Here is a 15,381-nt window from a genome sequence, read left to right on the forward strand (position 1 = left end):
TAAGCAGGAGGGGAGGGGTCAGGGTGGCCAAGCCAAGCACATGCCCATGTGGCAGTTCACATCACCAGTCTGACATTCTCCACCAATCTCATCAGTCTTCCTCTTTCCAGATTCCAGGAACAAACTCATTTTTGCAGAGGCAGCAACGGGTGGTGTATGTACACAATCACTTGTTAAAGGAGCTGGCCCAACGAGACCCAAACCTAAGTGATCACAGATAGCAGGTATTCTATAGTCAACGATCACAAGGGTCCCCCATCACCCTCCAAGAAAAATCCCACTTCAGTGACTCTCATCGCAAGGACAGCGTCTATGTGAGGAAGCTAGCTCTACTTCCGAGCAGGTATACTTGAGAGATATTGCTCTGTGGGTCTGATTACAGGGATCTCTCTATATGGAATCGAACCATTCAACAAAAGCTTCCACTGTTTCCTGTCCACTCATATGACTCTGGTCTGGTGGGTGCAAAGAAGGAAGACTGAGCCTGGGATGAGAACATGGGCCACCTAACAGGAAACGGAAATAGATTCTGCTGTAATCGTGGGTCACCTAACAGGAAATGGAAATAGACTCTGTTGTAATTGTGCTTGCAGCAATGAGGTTGACCCGACCTGGTGAATTTAGTACCACGGCAACACTTCCATGATGTTCTGCATGGTAAGAGTGCAGTAGGTAGAGAAGCAGAGAAGCAGAGAACAGAGGAGAGAAAGGTCAGTTTCTTCTTGCTCTTTTGGGGGATCTTATTAATCAATTATAAGTGAGCCAGGAGACCTTAGGTCTACTGCAGCTCAAATCCCCTATCATAATTAGACACCTGAATGTCTGTCTCCCTTGTGAACAGTGAGCCACTAGAGGGCAGGAAACCCGAGGTGTCTCTCTCCACTTGGTGTCTCTAGCTCCTAGCACAGAGCCTGGTACAAGGTAGGTTAAATATTGCTGCACGTTGGAGTGAGTGGAGGAGCGATTCAAATACAGAGCAGCATACCAGGCGCATCCTGTACTTTCCTCTCCCTATTCAGGTATCCCAACCATTCCCTTCAGAAAAACAAGGCAAAATGATGACAAAAACCACTCCACACCTCCTAAACCACCCTTCAAGCAAGACAAAGGGAAAGATTTTGGCATTTTGAAAACTTGAAATAAGGATGGTTAGACCCCGTGCCAGCCACACTGATGGGAAACTCTCCTTTGACGTCTCATCCCTGCCTCTAACAGACAGGGAGAGTGACGTCCAACATTGTTCTCCACATCAGAAAAACCTCACCCCAAGAAAAATACATGGTATTTTCGAAGTGCTTACTGTAAAAGGAGCAGGGTGCGCTGACTTCGCCAAGGAATGGGAAGGAAATGAAGCGCTGAGGTGGGAATTAGTACACGCTTCCTCTGGGGAAAAGACATCTGCTCCTGGCACTCCTCAAAGGAGGTGAGGCAGAGCTCTCCCTTGACGCTGTGCTGCTTCCCTAATCCATTCTCCAGGCTGGGTGATGGGACCTCTTCCTGCAGGGGAGAGCCTGCCCTGGCTCCCAGGGTCAACAAGGGCAGCAGCCCCCGGCTTGGAAGCCTCCCTCCTGCCCCTCCTTACACACGAAGGGGCAGAAGGGCTCTGGGCACAAGCAGTACTTTGGTAGAAAATCAGAAGGCCCTCTTACATCCCCGGGGGCGCCATGAAGGGACTTGGCTGCTGCCAGCCCCTCGCCAAACTCCTCTGAGTGGTCCAGGGGATAAGGCCGACACGCCCCTCCCATTCACTGGGGTGTGGTTTCCAGCACTTAGGACATTCCATGTAGCTTCTCCAACAGGACTCCTCCTCCCCACACTCAAACCCAAAGGACCCTTTCATAAACCAGATGATCATTTCTGGAAAGTTACATTTCTTAATTTCAGGAATTGTTCCAATTCGTGCAAAGAAAATAAAAGGTAATTATCTAATTCCAGTAAAACTTAATGGGGCCCTTCCCACCCCTGGCCAATGGTTGGTGTGAAATGTAATTTGACTTAAACTGTCTAAGGCTGTGAAAGTGTACAATATTCGGAAGGGTGGGGGGCATTACCCCTTGTGGGAGCCATATTTTTCTAGAAGGCATTTTGATCAAGACAGGCCTCCCGCGGTTATTGATCTTAGGGTCATTGAGAGTCCAAGAACTGGGGAGATGAAGGCCACCCGGCGTCAGCACCGCGAGGGCGGAGGGAAGGCGGGCGCTGAGTCTCCCATTGGGGTTCTAGCCGAGGGTTCCAGCCAGGACTGCGTGATCTGGGGGCAGCTCGGAGAGCTCTCCCGACCCAGTATCGGGTCTATAAATGGAGATAAAGATCAGCACCTGGAGGGAGTGGTTTCTCGAGGGCTGAGAGCCTCGCCCACAAACTGTAGTCAGCATCTTCACTGAAGTTGGCCTGTCTTGGATATTTCTTCTCTCCTCCCCTTCCCCCACCTCCCCTCCTAATTCATCAACTGCTGAAACATCTGCCTGGCTGAAACCGCCTTCTCGCCGCGCGCTGGGGGCTGTCCCCAGGTGTTGGTCTTTGTGTCGAGAAAACTTTGCGAGGAGGCGAGGGAGCTGGACAAAGAGCGGGCGAGGGAGGGCGTTTGCCAGCCTGAGGGGTGCGCCGGGCGGTGCGCGCACTTCCCTGGGCTCAGCTCCGTACCCGGTCGCTCGCGGTGGCCAGAGCCCAGTCTCTCTAGGCCAGGAGTGGCGTCCGGCTGCATCCCCGCGCCCTCGGGAGCTGAATAAAGCCAGGCGGGAGAAGCAAAGGCTAGCGCCTGGACGCTGGAGTTGGTGGGAGGAGGCGAGCAGAGGCGCGGAGCAAAGCTGTCAAACTGCGCGCGGAGCCGGGCGCGGGGCGGGGGAAGGGAGAGGAGGGAGGGAGGGGCAGGCGGGAGCCGGGAGGGAGCGAGCGGGCTCGCCGCGCCTGAGCAACCCCTGCCTGTCGCTGCCGCTGCCGCTGCCGCTGCCGCCGCCGGCCCGGACTCGTCCGGAGCGCAGGGTGTCTGCCCAGCTGCGCGCGGCGCGCGGAGGCTCCGGCGTCCGCCGCTGCGCCCTCCGGCCCCTGCTCCTCGCGCCGGCCCGCGTGGGTCCCGGCGGGCGCGAACCCACCATGCAGCTGCAGTTCCGGAGCTGGATGCTGGCCGCGCTCACGCTGCTCGTGGTCTTCCTCATCTTCGCAGACATCTCAGAGATCGAAGAAGAAATCGGGTAAATAGCTGCTCCCAGGCCCGTGCCACGAGCCCTGGCGGGATCTCTCCCTCCTTCTGTACTCTCCACCCTCCGACCCCCTTTGTGTGCGCCGCGCCCCGCTGTAGCTCCGCTGGAGAGATGGGGACGGTTTGGCAGAAGGTGGCGGCGACAGGGGCCCGGGACGGTTTGGGGAGAGGAGGGTGGGGGCGCGGCTGCTGTGGGGTGTCCCCGGGCGGGGTTCACGGGAAGCCCCCAGCTGGCCCGCGTCGGGAAGCGGACTCGCCCACCCTGCCCCCCTGCCTGGCGTGTCCAAGCGCAGTGTCGCCGGGGTCGAGGGAGGGCGCCGGGGAGTGTCTCGGGCGGGCGGAGGGGCCGAGAGTGGAGGGAGGCAGGAGTTTCTTTGTCTCCAGCACGGCCGCTTTCTCGCCTTGGCAAAGTGGGCAGGGGGCGCGCAGGGATCTCTGAGCTGGGGGAGGGGTTCCTGGGGCCGGAGCGGAGGGCGGGGTTCTGCATGGGCTACTGGGAAGCGGAATGTCCCCTGCACACACAGACAGGCACACGCGCCTCCCGCCGGCCCGGGAGCCCGGCGTAGGAGCTGGCACCACTAGAGAAGGGCTCGCATAGCTGGACTGAGACCCCCCGCCCTCGCCTGGCTTTGGACGTTCAGCCAAGCCACGGCAACCCCGGCGACCCTGGGTTCCTGTGCGCTCGCAGCGCGGAGACGGAGACATTTCGGGAAAGTCTGTACCGCCGCCCGGTGGGCTTCTGGGCCCTCAGGCGGGCGATCTGGCGCTTTTTTTCTCCCGACCTCGCCAGAGGTAGGGTGGGACCGCGAGCCCGGATCCTCCCGGCTCCGGACTTCCTGGAGTGCGCACTTGAGGCGCGGGACGCACCGGCTGTGTGTCCCAGGGGCTGAGACTCGCGCCCCGCCCCGCAGCCTTCGGCTCGCCGGGCCGGGCCCCTCTCCGGAACCTCCAAAGGGCGGTAGACGACAGGTGGGGAGGCAGCCGGGGTTCTGAGGAGGCCCGAGGAGAGCTTCCTGGCCCTGGGCAAGGGGAAGGTGAGGTCTCAAAGAGGGCAGAAGGTCTCTTCTTCTGTGGGATTTGTGCTCTGCCAGGCGCTCTTCTCGAGTCCCGCGCCGCGTGCGCCCCTCCTTTGTCCCATTTGTTACTTCATTTGTTATCTGTGCTAGTTGAGGGTCCGCCACACTGTCAGTCCCTCAAATGGGAGATGCCAGTCCTGGGCCCAGGCGGGATGCCGAGGCCCCAAGGACAAAAACTTGTGACAAGTGCCGCTTCCTGCTCTCATTTTCTCCCTGCCCCTGCCCATCTCCCTGGAATTCCTTCTGTGAACTCCGCTGGGCTTCCAGAACCCCTCTCCCTGCCTCTTTCTCCTCTCATTCTCGGTTTCCCCAAGAGCTCTGAAAACTTTCACAAATGCTGCGCAGTTAATACACAACGTGCCACCAATTCCCACGCAGAGATAAACATGCTACTTTTCATAGCTGCTCGCCTCAGAAACGTGGATTGGAAAGGAAATCGGGCAAGTCACGTCTTGGGGTAATGGAAGATGCGGTGAGGAGGGCCTTCCTCTAGGCTCTCCGGCTTCTGATTCCGGATGTGGGCACTGCCCGGCTCAGATCACTTGCTGACCTTTGCCCATGTGAGAGGGAAGGCCCGGCGCTGCCCATTGTCCTGTTATAAAAACATAAGTGCTGTGCTTATCCAGGCACCCCTAGGTCAGCCATTCACTGAATTCTTACCAAATACCTTCCACATGCTGGGAACTTTTAATTTTTAAAATGCAATCAGGAGATCACTTTGCACATAATGTTGCACTTTCTTGCCAAATGCACGGTGAAGCCTACGCTCCCCACATCAGGTTGTTCCCATATATGTACGCACCCCGGGGACTTGTCTCACTTGAGTGCTCCCTGCTTCTTTTTATCCTGTCTCTGCTGGGCCAATCCTAGGAAAAAACGGTCAAACAAGTACGATGTGTCACCTCCTGTGGCATCTTCCTTCCCTCTCTTGCCTCTCGTCCCAGGCTGACCACTGGCTTGACCAGTCCTGACCAGGCCTAAGACACCCTCTCTCCCAGGCTGATGTAGCTGCCTTAGGTCAACACTGCATATGCCTTTCGACTGGGATGGGCACTCTTGCCCCACCCACGGTCAGCCCCACACATGTTTAATCCAGAGGAATGGAGGCATATTTTGGGATTCACCATGGCTGGAGGAGTAAACACATGGGCAGAGCATGGGAATCCCAACAGCACCTTCTGTCTGCTTACAAGTGAGGGGTTTCTTTTTGTTTGTTTGTTTTTGTTTTTTTTTTTGTCTTTTCTTTTTTTCTTTTTCTTTTTTTTGAGACGGAGTCTCATTCTGTCGCCCAGGATGGAGTGCAGTGGCACAATCTCGGCTCACTGCAACCTCCGCCTCCCGGGTTCAAGCAATTCTCCTGTTTCAGCCTCCCGAGTAGCTGGGATTACAGGCACCTGCCACCACACCAGGCTAATTTTTGTATTTTTATTAGAGACGGGGTTTCACCATGTTGGCCAGGCTGGTCTCAATCACCTCAGGGGATCTGCCCACCTCAGCCTCCCAAAGTGCTGGGATTACAGGCGTGAGCCACCCCTCCCGGCACAAGTGAGGTTTTAACACTAAATTCATTCTTGGAATTACCCCAACTTTGGGCAGCTGGGCTCAGTGCCCAATAAGAGCCTTGGCACAGTGGCCAGTGAGGGGCGTCAAGAGGGCTCCGCCTTCCTCACCATATGCCTTCCTGGAGACCTCGAATCATACTCAGGCACAAGAGGCTTTTGCACCAGCCCTGCCCCTCCATCCCCAACTCACTCCGGACCTGTGCTAGGGAGGATTACAGATGATCTGCGCGTGTCGGCCCCTGGGAGAAAGCGATGGCTCTGTAAAAGGATGGCTGTTTCTGGAAAGTAATGAACAGTGGGACCCTGTGATCTGTTGGAAGGAAGGAAAGATAGAAGGAACCTCTTTTGGGGGTAACTTTTTCAAGGATTAAGGAATTTTAAAAAGTGAAAGAAGAAAGTGAATTACATGTGTATTATCTGGAGGGATAAAACTGAGATTTACTTTTCTGAAGCTTTTGATTCTCTTTTTTTTATAAAATGAGGCTTTTAATGTGGTGGTCTCAGAGGTCCTGTCCTGCCTGAAAAGTTATACATCATGAATTGAGGGGCAGGGCTTTCTTTGAGGGGAGTTTTCTGAGACACACATCTCTTTTCCTTAGTGATTATTTTCCAAAGTTCCATTTCTGACTCTCTTGCTCTCATTGAGCTGGAGCTGACTAAGAAAACAAAATGTAGAAAGATAAGTTCTCTGCAAAGCACCTAGAGAGTCCTGCCTGGTAGCCAAGGAGTGAATTCAAATTCTAAGTCAGAAATTGGGTGGGGCTTTGGTAAAATAGGCCCTGATCAATTCATGCACACTCCCAAGTTTTAGATCCAATTCGACCAAGTTGTAAGCTAAAATCTTCTGATTGTTTCTTGGCCTTTAATCTTGAGTGTAACTTCCACTAGGGGATTGTGAGGCGTAGCTGTCTTGCCCATCATGGTGTCCATGGAACTGGGCACACAAGGCATTCAATAAACATCTGTTGGATAAATATTTTCCTGAGTCTGGCACAGTGATGGGCACACACAGCATCCTTGGGCAAAGTTGAAACTCAGAGCTGGCCGGGAACGGTGGCTCACGCCTGTAATCCCAACACTTTGGGAGGCCGAGGCAGGTAGATCACCTGAGGTCAGGAGTTCGAGACCAGACTGGCCAACATGGTGAAACTCCATCTCTACTAAAAGTACAAAAATTAGCCAGGCATGGTGGCGGGTGCCTGTAATACCAGCTACTCGGGAGGCTGAGGCAGGAGAATGGCTTGAAACCTGGGAGGAAGAGGTTGCAGTGAGCCAAGATCACGCCATTGCACTCCAGCCTGGGCGACAGAGCGAGACTCCATCTCAAAAAAAGAAAAAAGAAAAGAAAAAGAAAGAAAGAAACTCACTGAGCCTTGGGACAAGAAGAGAGCATAGGGCTCTCCCTGTAGAAACCTTTCCTTTTTATCAGCTAGGGTGAATTTGACACTGAGAAATAACATCACTAATCTGAGATCACAGCCTGGCTGGTTAAGGGCAGAGCAGGCTTGCACAGGTCTCCTCTTTTGTAACCCAATGTCCTAATCCTCATATTAGTTCCTCTACCCATAAAGGAATTACAGAAATCTTGTTAAAGAGAAGTTGAGTGACTAGTAAAGATAACAATAGCAATTATGACAACGGTGAAGATGATGATCACGGTTAGCATTTACTGAGTGCTTCCTAAGAGCTAAGAGCTACTCCAAGTGCTTTATAGATGTTAACACATTCCAGCCTCATGGCAATCCAGTGGTCACCTGCCAGTGGCACTGTTTGTAGAGCTCTGTGAGCCAGATGCTAGGCTAACTGCTTTGAAACACATTTGCTGGATCCTCACCAGAACCCTCTAAGGTAGGTACCATTTCTATCCCCATTTATTGATGAAGAAACCGAGGCCTGGAGAGGTTGTATACCCTGCTGATAAACTTGTGATAAAGCAGCTCTGTGGAAGGCCGAAACCCATGCATGCTCTTGACCATTGTGCTAGACTGCCCTGTCCTCTGAGTTATTTTTTTTACCCTGAGCTAATAATGTTAACGAATATATCTGAAGACCAACTCATCCCCAGTGGTTCTTCTAAAGGCCCAGAGTTTTCCTGAGAGCCTGGTCTGGCCTTAGTAGTTTCTCCATCAGTCATTTAGAAAGACAGAAGGTGAATGAGGAGGACCAGAGGAGGACTCTGAGCACATCTCCCCAAAATGTCCCTCTAGTCCAGCTAAGTTCAGTGCCATGCTGGAGGACAGAATGGCATTAACCCCAACCTGTTACACAAGGTCACCTGCCATAGGTATGAGCATTCCAGACTCTGAGGTGGAGCCTGGGGCTAAAGTGACAGGAGGAAGGAAAGCTCCTATTCCATTGCAAACCTGATTCTGATGTCAATCAAAAGGGCCTGCCTCGATACTACGTGCTGTATATTTGGGCATCTAGGTGTCCGGAGCAGGGGAGATAGTAAAGATATTTAACAACTGCTCCCTCTCCAGCACCAACCTGTTAGAATGGACATCTGACCCATCAGAACTGATGCCATCCAGTACACCACGGCCAGGGGTCCTAGTGCACCTCAGCCAAACACCAGGCCCTGTCTGGGAAAACACTAGACAAGGAGAGGCTAGCTCTGATCATCAGCCATGACGAGATCTGTGAGCAGGCAGCAACTACTGCCAACAGCCAAGAGTGAGGTGAGGTGAATCGTTTAGTGGACGAGTGCACGTGGATGGGAAAGAAAATGACCTTGAGCAGTTGCAGTCCAGGCACTCTGTAAGAAGTACACGTTTGCTCAACACGATGCATTTTTTTTTAAAAAAGCCCATTCTTCTCCCTAGTACTGGTGTACTTCACTGAAGTATAAGCATGATTGGAAGATAAAATAGGAGAGAAAGATCTGGTTTTAACTCACTTGCTCCAAGTCCTTATTGCCAACTGTTCCAAACATCACATTTAAATTGTAAATAGATACCATCTTAGAAACCAATTCACCACTCAGAGCCTCTTTCCCCCTGTAAGGCAGGGTTGCTAGGTTTTAAACATGTTTTAGGTTTTACAAATTGGAAATGTTGTAGATTGCAAATTATAAATACTTCTTCGAGAGGGGATTCTAGAAAGGCTCCCATTGCTTTTAGCAGGGCATACAAAGCAACACATCATCTGGTCTTTTGCCTCTGTCTGTAGCCGGCCTGGGCTCCAGCCATTTTTGTATTGCTTACAGGTTCCCCAAAATGTCCTAGGATTTCATACCTCTGTGCCTTTGCACATCCCGCTCCTGCTCTGTGGAATGCCCTCCTTGCGCACACACCATCCTTCCTGCTGTTGCCCTGCTCCTCCCAGGCCCTTCCTTTCTCTCACTGCTCTGTCTTCTTCCAGGCTAAGATCTGGTATCTCCTAGACCCCGTCCCCTTCCGAGACATCTGCATTGGTTGCCCCTCCTGTGTGCACCCTAGCACCCCATCATGCAGCACCCCATGGACATGCATTTCACAATTATATTTTATTTATCCTTTATCTCCAGCCCCTGGTGATACGTATATGGTTTAGTAAATGAAGCCTATTAAATATTTTTTGAAGGAACAAACTCTGACCGAGGATATGCCAAAAATAAGCATTCAGCCTCTCTGCTCCCAAAAGTACATACTATTCTAACAACAATTAAACACCCTCTGCTTGATCTGGAAGCCCCCTGCTTTTCCTGTGTATCTAGCGTGGAGGGTGCATCCCAGTGAAGAGCACAGTCTGGCTATGACGTTATTCACCATTGCGGAATGTTTGGGGCCAATGGAAATAAAAGCTGCTTTCTAATTTGTAAAAGCAGAGGACCCAGTGGTGTTTGCCCCCTGCCAGTTTAGGTAAAAACCAAAGATCTAGAGCCCAGATGCCAAGCCTCTGCCGGCTGTTGGTTCTCCAGAGAGCCCTTTCCAGCCCTCCACTGCCCACAGTGCTGCTGAGGCTGCCCCCTCCTGCCTGGAAGGACAGCCGGCCCCGTCTACCTTAATCCCCTTCAGGGCTTCCATAGTGGCGTTGAGAGCAGACCAGGAACGCAGGGCCAGCTGTTTCCGTGCAAGGGCTGGTCCCCAGGTAGGATGCTGGAAACTGAGTGTTAGAGACGTTGACAGTAAGAAATGTGAGGTCAGGTCGGGATGTGTCATCTCAAAGATTTTCCTCATGAAGCACCTTCTAGTGGTGTTTTTATTTGAAAACACTGGTCAAACCAGTGAATCCTCATGACGGGTCAAGACTTGGGGCAGCTGTGTGGATCCTAGATAAGGTCCGGAGCCTCATCTCTCTCAGCTGTCTCAAGCAGAGATGAGTTAGAGACAGTTGGGAGGATACAGTGGAAACGGCCGGGGGAGGGACAGGAACATGAAAGCCACCAGCTGGGTGAGTCAGGTGGCTATCTCCTGCCAGGGCGTGGGGACAAGCTCATCTTCCGGAGAGGCACTGTGGGGTGAGACACCGTCGCCTGTGGCCGGCCGGCTGACCGCCCCTGGGCTTGCTTACCATCTCTCCAGAGCCAAGGCTGGTCCTTAAGCGTTGAGATTAGTCACTCTCTTGGGTGGCATCTGGGCTGGTTTTAAATTCTCTTTAGTCTCCTGCAATTTATCACCCAGCTAGGAAGCTGCCCGGTGTCCTGACGGGACCTGTGTGTCCCATGTTTTCTCAGCTTTGGCTGTCACTGACTTCGCGACGATGGCAAGGAGGAAACGGCTCCAACTGGGGAGAGCAGCGGCCCCGACACGACATGTGTCTGTATTACACGTTGGCAGTCGAGGTTCCTCCTGACACTTTCAAGCACTTGGGATCCCGATTCACTCCCCTGGGAAATCCAGCATCCAGCCTCGCTGTGTGGGTGTGCCTTTGACTTCCCAAACTGCTCTGCAAGCATGAAGCTCTCAGCTCTGTCCAAGGGTTTCCCAGTGCCTTTTTTTTTTATTATTGAAGGAATGCGGAGGGACTCAGCTTTGCTTCCTGGACCTTTTTTAAGGTTCAGGGAAACAATTCCTCCTCCTCCTCCTCCAGCTTCTTAGTTGATGGCCAAAGGATGAAAGAACCCCTAGGTCAGTGGTTCCCAAATAGTGAGCCACAGAGGAGTGGTGATCTGAAAGGAGCCAGAAAAAAAAAAAAAAGTGCAATGTAGCCATGATTATTAATAGTTTCAAGTTGCCAGCTGCCATTGCCTGAAAAGAACTCTTCTATATTCTGAGATAATGTTCCTTTTTCCTTTGGGATACTAAGATGTCCTTTCTTTTATGAAAGGGAGTGATGGTAGCTATGAAATTCTCCCTTGGCTGAAGAGGGTGGTAACCTCATGAGTCCCCACCCCCAGTGTTTTGGAAATACTATGGGTCCTTGAAATCTGATTGTCTGGGGTCTGGATCCACAAGGTATTCTGAAAAGCTCATTTCAGGAAGTAGCCTCACTCCTCACATATTTTCTTCCCCATGGAGGCTGATGCCAGCAGAGAATAACAACAAAGTCATATTTTGTCTGTGTCTGCTGGGGTCCAAATGATTTTCTAAACACTTTAGCTGTATTCACACCTGTAATCCTCCCAACAGTCTGAGGAGGTCTATGTTATTATTATCTCCCTTTTACAGATTAGTGAACTGAGGCCCAGAGCAGTTAAATAACACAGCTAGTAAGGTGCAGAGCTGGGATTCAAACCCAGGCTCCCAGGAACAAGGATAATTCTCCAAAAAACGATGTCTTAAATGACATCCAGTGGGGAAGAGATGCGTGCTTGTATTTTCAAGGAATAAGCCTTGGAAACACAAAGGTCTGTGGGAGAGAGAACCCTGGGATGTAGCGATGCTGAAGGAAACTTAGGGGATAGCATGTTGGAGCCCAGGCCATAATGGGACATGGCAGCCAAAAGATCAGTACAATTTAGGGTTGCCAGTTCCAAAACACCTTAATGCGGAATGACGGCCAGGGGCACACCGCTCTGCCTCTGCCTCCCCACATTTCCTCTCCTCTCACACCAGCTTCCCCGCACGGAGTCTCATCAGAATGGCTCCGGAGCATGGCATTTGTTTGACCATCTCATTACCAGAGAGAGAGAGAGAGAGAGAGACACACTGAGAGAGAAGAGAAAAACAACACAAATGATCAAGGCCTGGAGGAATTTTCTTCTAGGGGAAGACAGAAGAGTTGGTGCTGTCAGCTTCCCCAGGTCAGTGGAGCCTGACAAGGAAGGGAAGGAGGGAGGGAGTGAGTGACGGAGGGAGGGAGCCCTTCGGGGAGGGGCCAGGCTTAATGCAAGGAGATAGCACATCCCAAGGAGCCCCCTTTCCTACTGTAACCACATTCTGCTGAGAGCTCACATGTATCACCTCACTCAACCTTCCCAAGCACCCTGTTAGTCCATTTGCAGATGAGGAAATGGAGACTCAGAGAGGTCTCGGGACTTGCTAAGGTCACACAGCTAGTAAACATGGAGCTGGGATTCCACCCAGGTTTGCCTGACTCCATGGTCCATCTGGTCTTAGCCACTTTTTTATACTGAGGTTACCTGGCTGCTCACCCCCATTCCTCATGCCTCCTGCCCTGGGCCTCCTACACTTTATCCCGTTTTCTGTACCATGCAGAGAGTTTGCACAAAGATGCTGGAAACTTTTGAGACGATAGAATAGACTCATCATGTCAGATAGCTTCGCGAACACAATGGCATCTGTCACCATCGGGCACAACACTTCAGCGGAGGCTCTGGAAGAGGCAGACATACCTGGACTCTACCTGGGGAGGTGTGAGCACTTGTTATTGAGCTTCCCCAGTTCTAATTTTGAAAATCGGCTGCACGCGGAGGAGTGATACCCAGGGTTAATTCACGCCTTCTTGGTAACTGCCAGAGTAGCTTAATAATGAAGGCGGGAGGCATAAGATGTCTGGAGAAAGTGAATTAGTAAATTGATAGGGCAGGTGACTTTAGTTTGCTATTTTCCTACAAGCAGTAAAGGCCCTCCTACTGCATCTCTTGAGGTTCCCACAATTTGGGATTTGACTTTAGGTGGACTCAGGATGATGCCCAAATTGTATGCTAATCAAAACATTTAGTTCCCAGGAGAAGCAAAGAGAAGGGCAAGAGAGAAACTCCCCGTGGTGTTCTGTCTTGGCCCGGGCAGGGAGCCTCTTAGGCCGGCTGGACACAAAGGCAGCAACGTGCTGACAGACGGCATCCCAAAGAAAGACCTGTGATGGCCCAGCCTTGGTAGTAAAGCCAGTTAAGGCTCCACAGGCCCTTCCCCAACCTGCCAGAACTGCCCACCATACCATAGCTCTAACCTCCAGCAGAATGCCAGAATGGCTCACTTAGGTATTCATCATACATCTCTCCCTGCTGCCAACCTGGGGCCTTACGTTTATCTGTAAGGACTGACAAGTTCTTGCCAGAGCTGGATTCATGGCATATAATTCAGGACATTGGGCCAGACCTTTGGAGCAACTGAGAGCTACTCTTGGAAGATTAAGGCTCCAGTCTTCAGTGGAACACTTATTACCTGTGTGAGTTCAGGCAAATGACCTCACCTTTCTGAGTCTCAGTTTCCTAATCTGTATAATGGGGTTAATGATACCCAACTTACAGTGTTCTGAGGATTAAATAAAACACAAATGGTGGGAATGTAAAATGGTACAGCTACTATGGAAAACAGTATGACGGTTCCTCAAAAAATTTAACGTAGAATTACCATATGGTCCAGCAATTCCACTTCTGGGTGTATATTCAAAAGAATTGAAAGCAGGGGCCAGGTGTGGTGGCTCACACCTGTAATCTCAACACTTTGGGAGGCCGAGGTGGGTGGATTACCTGAGGTCAGGAGTTTGAGACCAGCCTGGCCAACATGGTGAAACCCTGTCTTTACTAAAAATACAAAAAAAAAAAAAAAAAAATTAGCTGGGTGTAGTGCTGCATGCCTGTAGTCCCAGCTACTCGGAGGCTGAGACAGGAGAATAGGTTGAACCCGGGAGGCGGAGGTTGCAGTGAGCCTAGATCATGCCACTGCACTCCAGCCTGGGTGACAGAGCAAGACTCCATCTCAAAAAAAAAAAAAAAAATTGGAAACAGGGACTCAAACAGATATTTGTACACCCATGTTCATAGTAACCTTATTCACGGTAGCTAAAAGGTGGAAGCAACCCAGGTATCCGTCAATGAGTGAATGGATAAACAAAATATGGTAGATGCTGGGCGTGGTGGCTCACCCCTGTAATCCCAGCTCTTAGGGAGGCACAGGCAGGAGGATAGCTTGAGCCCAGGAGTTTGGACATGCCTGGGCAATATAGCAAGACCCTGTTCTTAAAAATTTTTTTTAAAAAGGTATATCCATACAATGGAATATTATTCAATCTTAAAAAGGAAGGAAATTCTGACACAAGCTATAAGATGGGTGAACTTTGAGAACATTATGCTGAGTGGAATAAGCCAGTGGCCAAAGCACAAATACTGTATGGTTCTACGTACATGAGGCATCTGGAATGGTCAAATTGATGGAGACAGAAAGTAGAATGGCGGTTGCCAGGGTCTGGGGAAGGAGAAGGGGAATTTGTTTAATGGGTATAAAGTTTCAGTTTTGCAAGATGAAAAGAGTTCAGCAGACGGATGGTAATGATAGCTGCAGAATAATATGAATGTCTTAATGCTACTGAACCGAACACTTAAAAATAGCTAAGATGGTAAATTGCATGTTATGTGTATTTTCCCACAATTGAAACACACACGCGCGCAAGCAGCCAGAAGAGTGCCTGGCAGGTGCTCGGGACACACTGACTTATTTTAAGAGCACAGTTGTGATTTTCAACAAAGCAACATCAATGTGGGTATTACTTAATTTTAAAAATAATACAGGACCAAAAAGCAGATACAGGGGAAATGGAGGGAGAAAAGGGGGGAGGTGTGGCTATAGACACAGAATTAGAAAAATACAAATCATCACTTTGTTGTATGTTTGGATACACAAGCTGGAGGTGGCCCAAATACCCAACATCTGGGATTTAGGATTGTGGAAAGTGCAAGCATACTTTTGTGTGGCCACTCTGAATTCTTGTTGGCTGCCCTGCCCATCTAAGTTTAGTGGAGGGGCCCATAAGGTTTTGCCAAAGCCTAAGTTGCAAGGAGGGCCCAGAGTGATGGGGGAGAGAGGCCAAGACAGTCCAGACCCCCTCCCTCCCAGACGCAGCTTCCAGAAGTCCCTTTCTTTATCACCTGCCTACGGGTGGCCTCTAAACTGTTTCTGGCTCAAGGGTGAACCTGAAAAGAAAAGAGTCCGAGATACTGATCCCAAGATTTGGCTCCTGCTGAGCTGGGAAGAGGTAGGGCACAGCTGTCTCTTCCCTTTTAGGCTCTCTATAATACCACAGGAAGGAGCAAGTGAGGTGGATTCCAGGAGGCTTGAGATGCCAAAGCCAGTTCTCAGACTTGAGAGAGCATCACAATCACCTCGAGGATTTGTTAAAAACAGAACGCTGGACACCTCCTGGAGTTTCTGTTTCCACAGGCCTGGGGCAGGGCCTGAGAATTTGCATCTCTAACAGGTTCCAGGTGATGCTGACACTGCTG

The 15,381-nt window shown here is 51.0% G+C and overlaps 1 protein-coding gene across 2 annotated transcripts in view; it reads left to right on the forward strand.

The window, feature by feature from the left end:
* The first annotated feature begins 2,909 nt into the window (after nucleotides 1-2,909).
* ST8SIA2 (ST8 alpha-N-acetyl-neuraminide alpha-2,8-sialyltransferase 2) overlaps nucleotides 2,910-15,381 on the forward strand; it is a 74,848-nt gene continuing 62,376 nt past the window's right edge. For both annotated transcript variants that reach the window (NM_006011.4, NM_001330416.2), the window contains exon 1: nucleotides 2,910-3,191. In NM_006011.4, the coding sequence (NP_006002.1) occupies nucleotides 3,094-3,191 (98 nt within the window). In that variant the 5' untranslated portion in view covers nucleotides 2,910-3,093. The remainder of the gene's footprint in view (nucleotides 3,192-15,381) is intronic.

This window comes from Homo sapiens, chromosome 15, assembly GCF_000001405.40.
Source record: "Homo sapiens chromosome 15, GRCh38.p14 Primary Assembly".
In the NCBI taxonomy this organism is placed as follows: domain Eukaryota; kingdom Metazoa; phylum Chordata; class Mammalia; order Primates; family Hominidae; genus Homo; species Homo sapiens.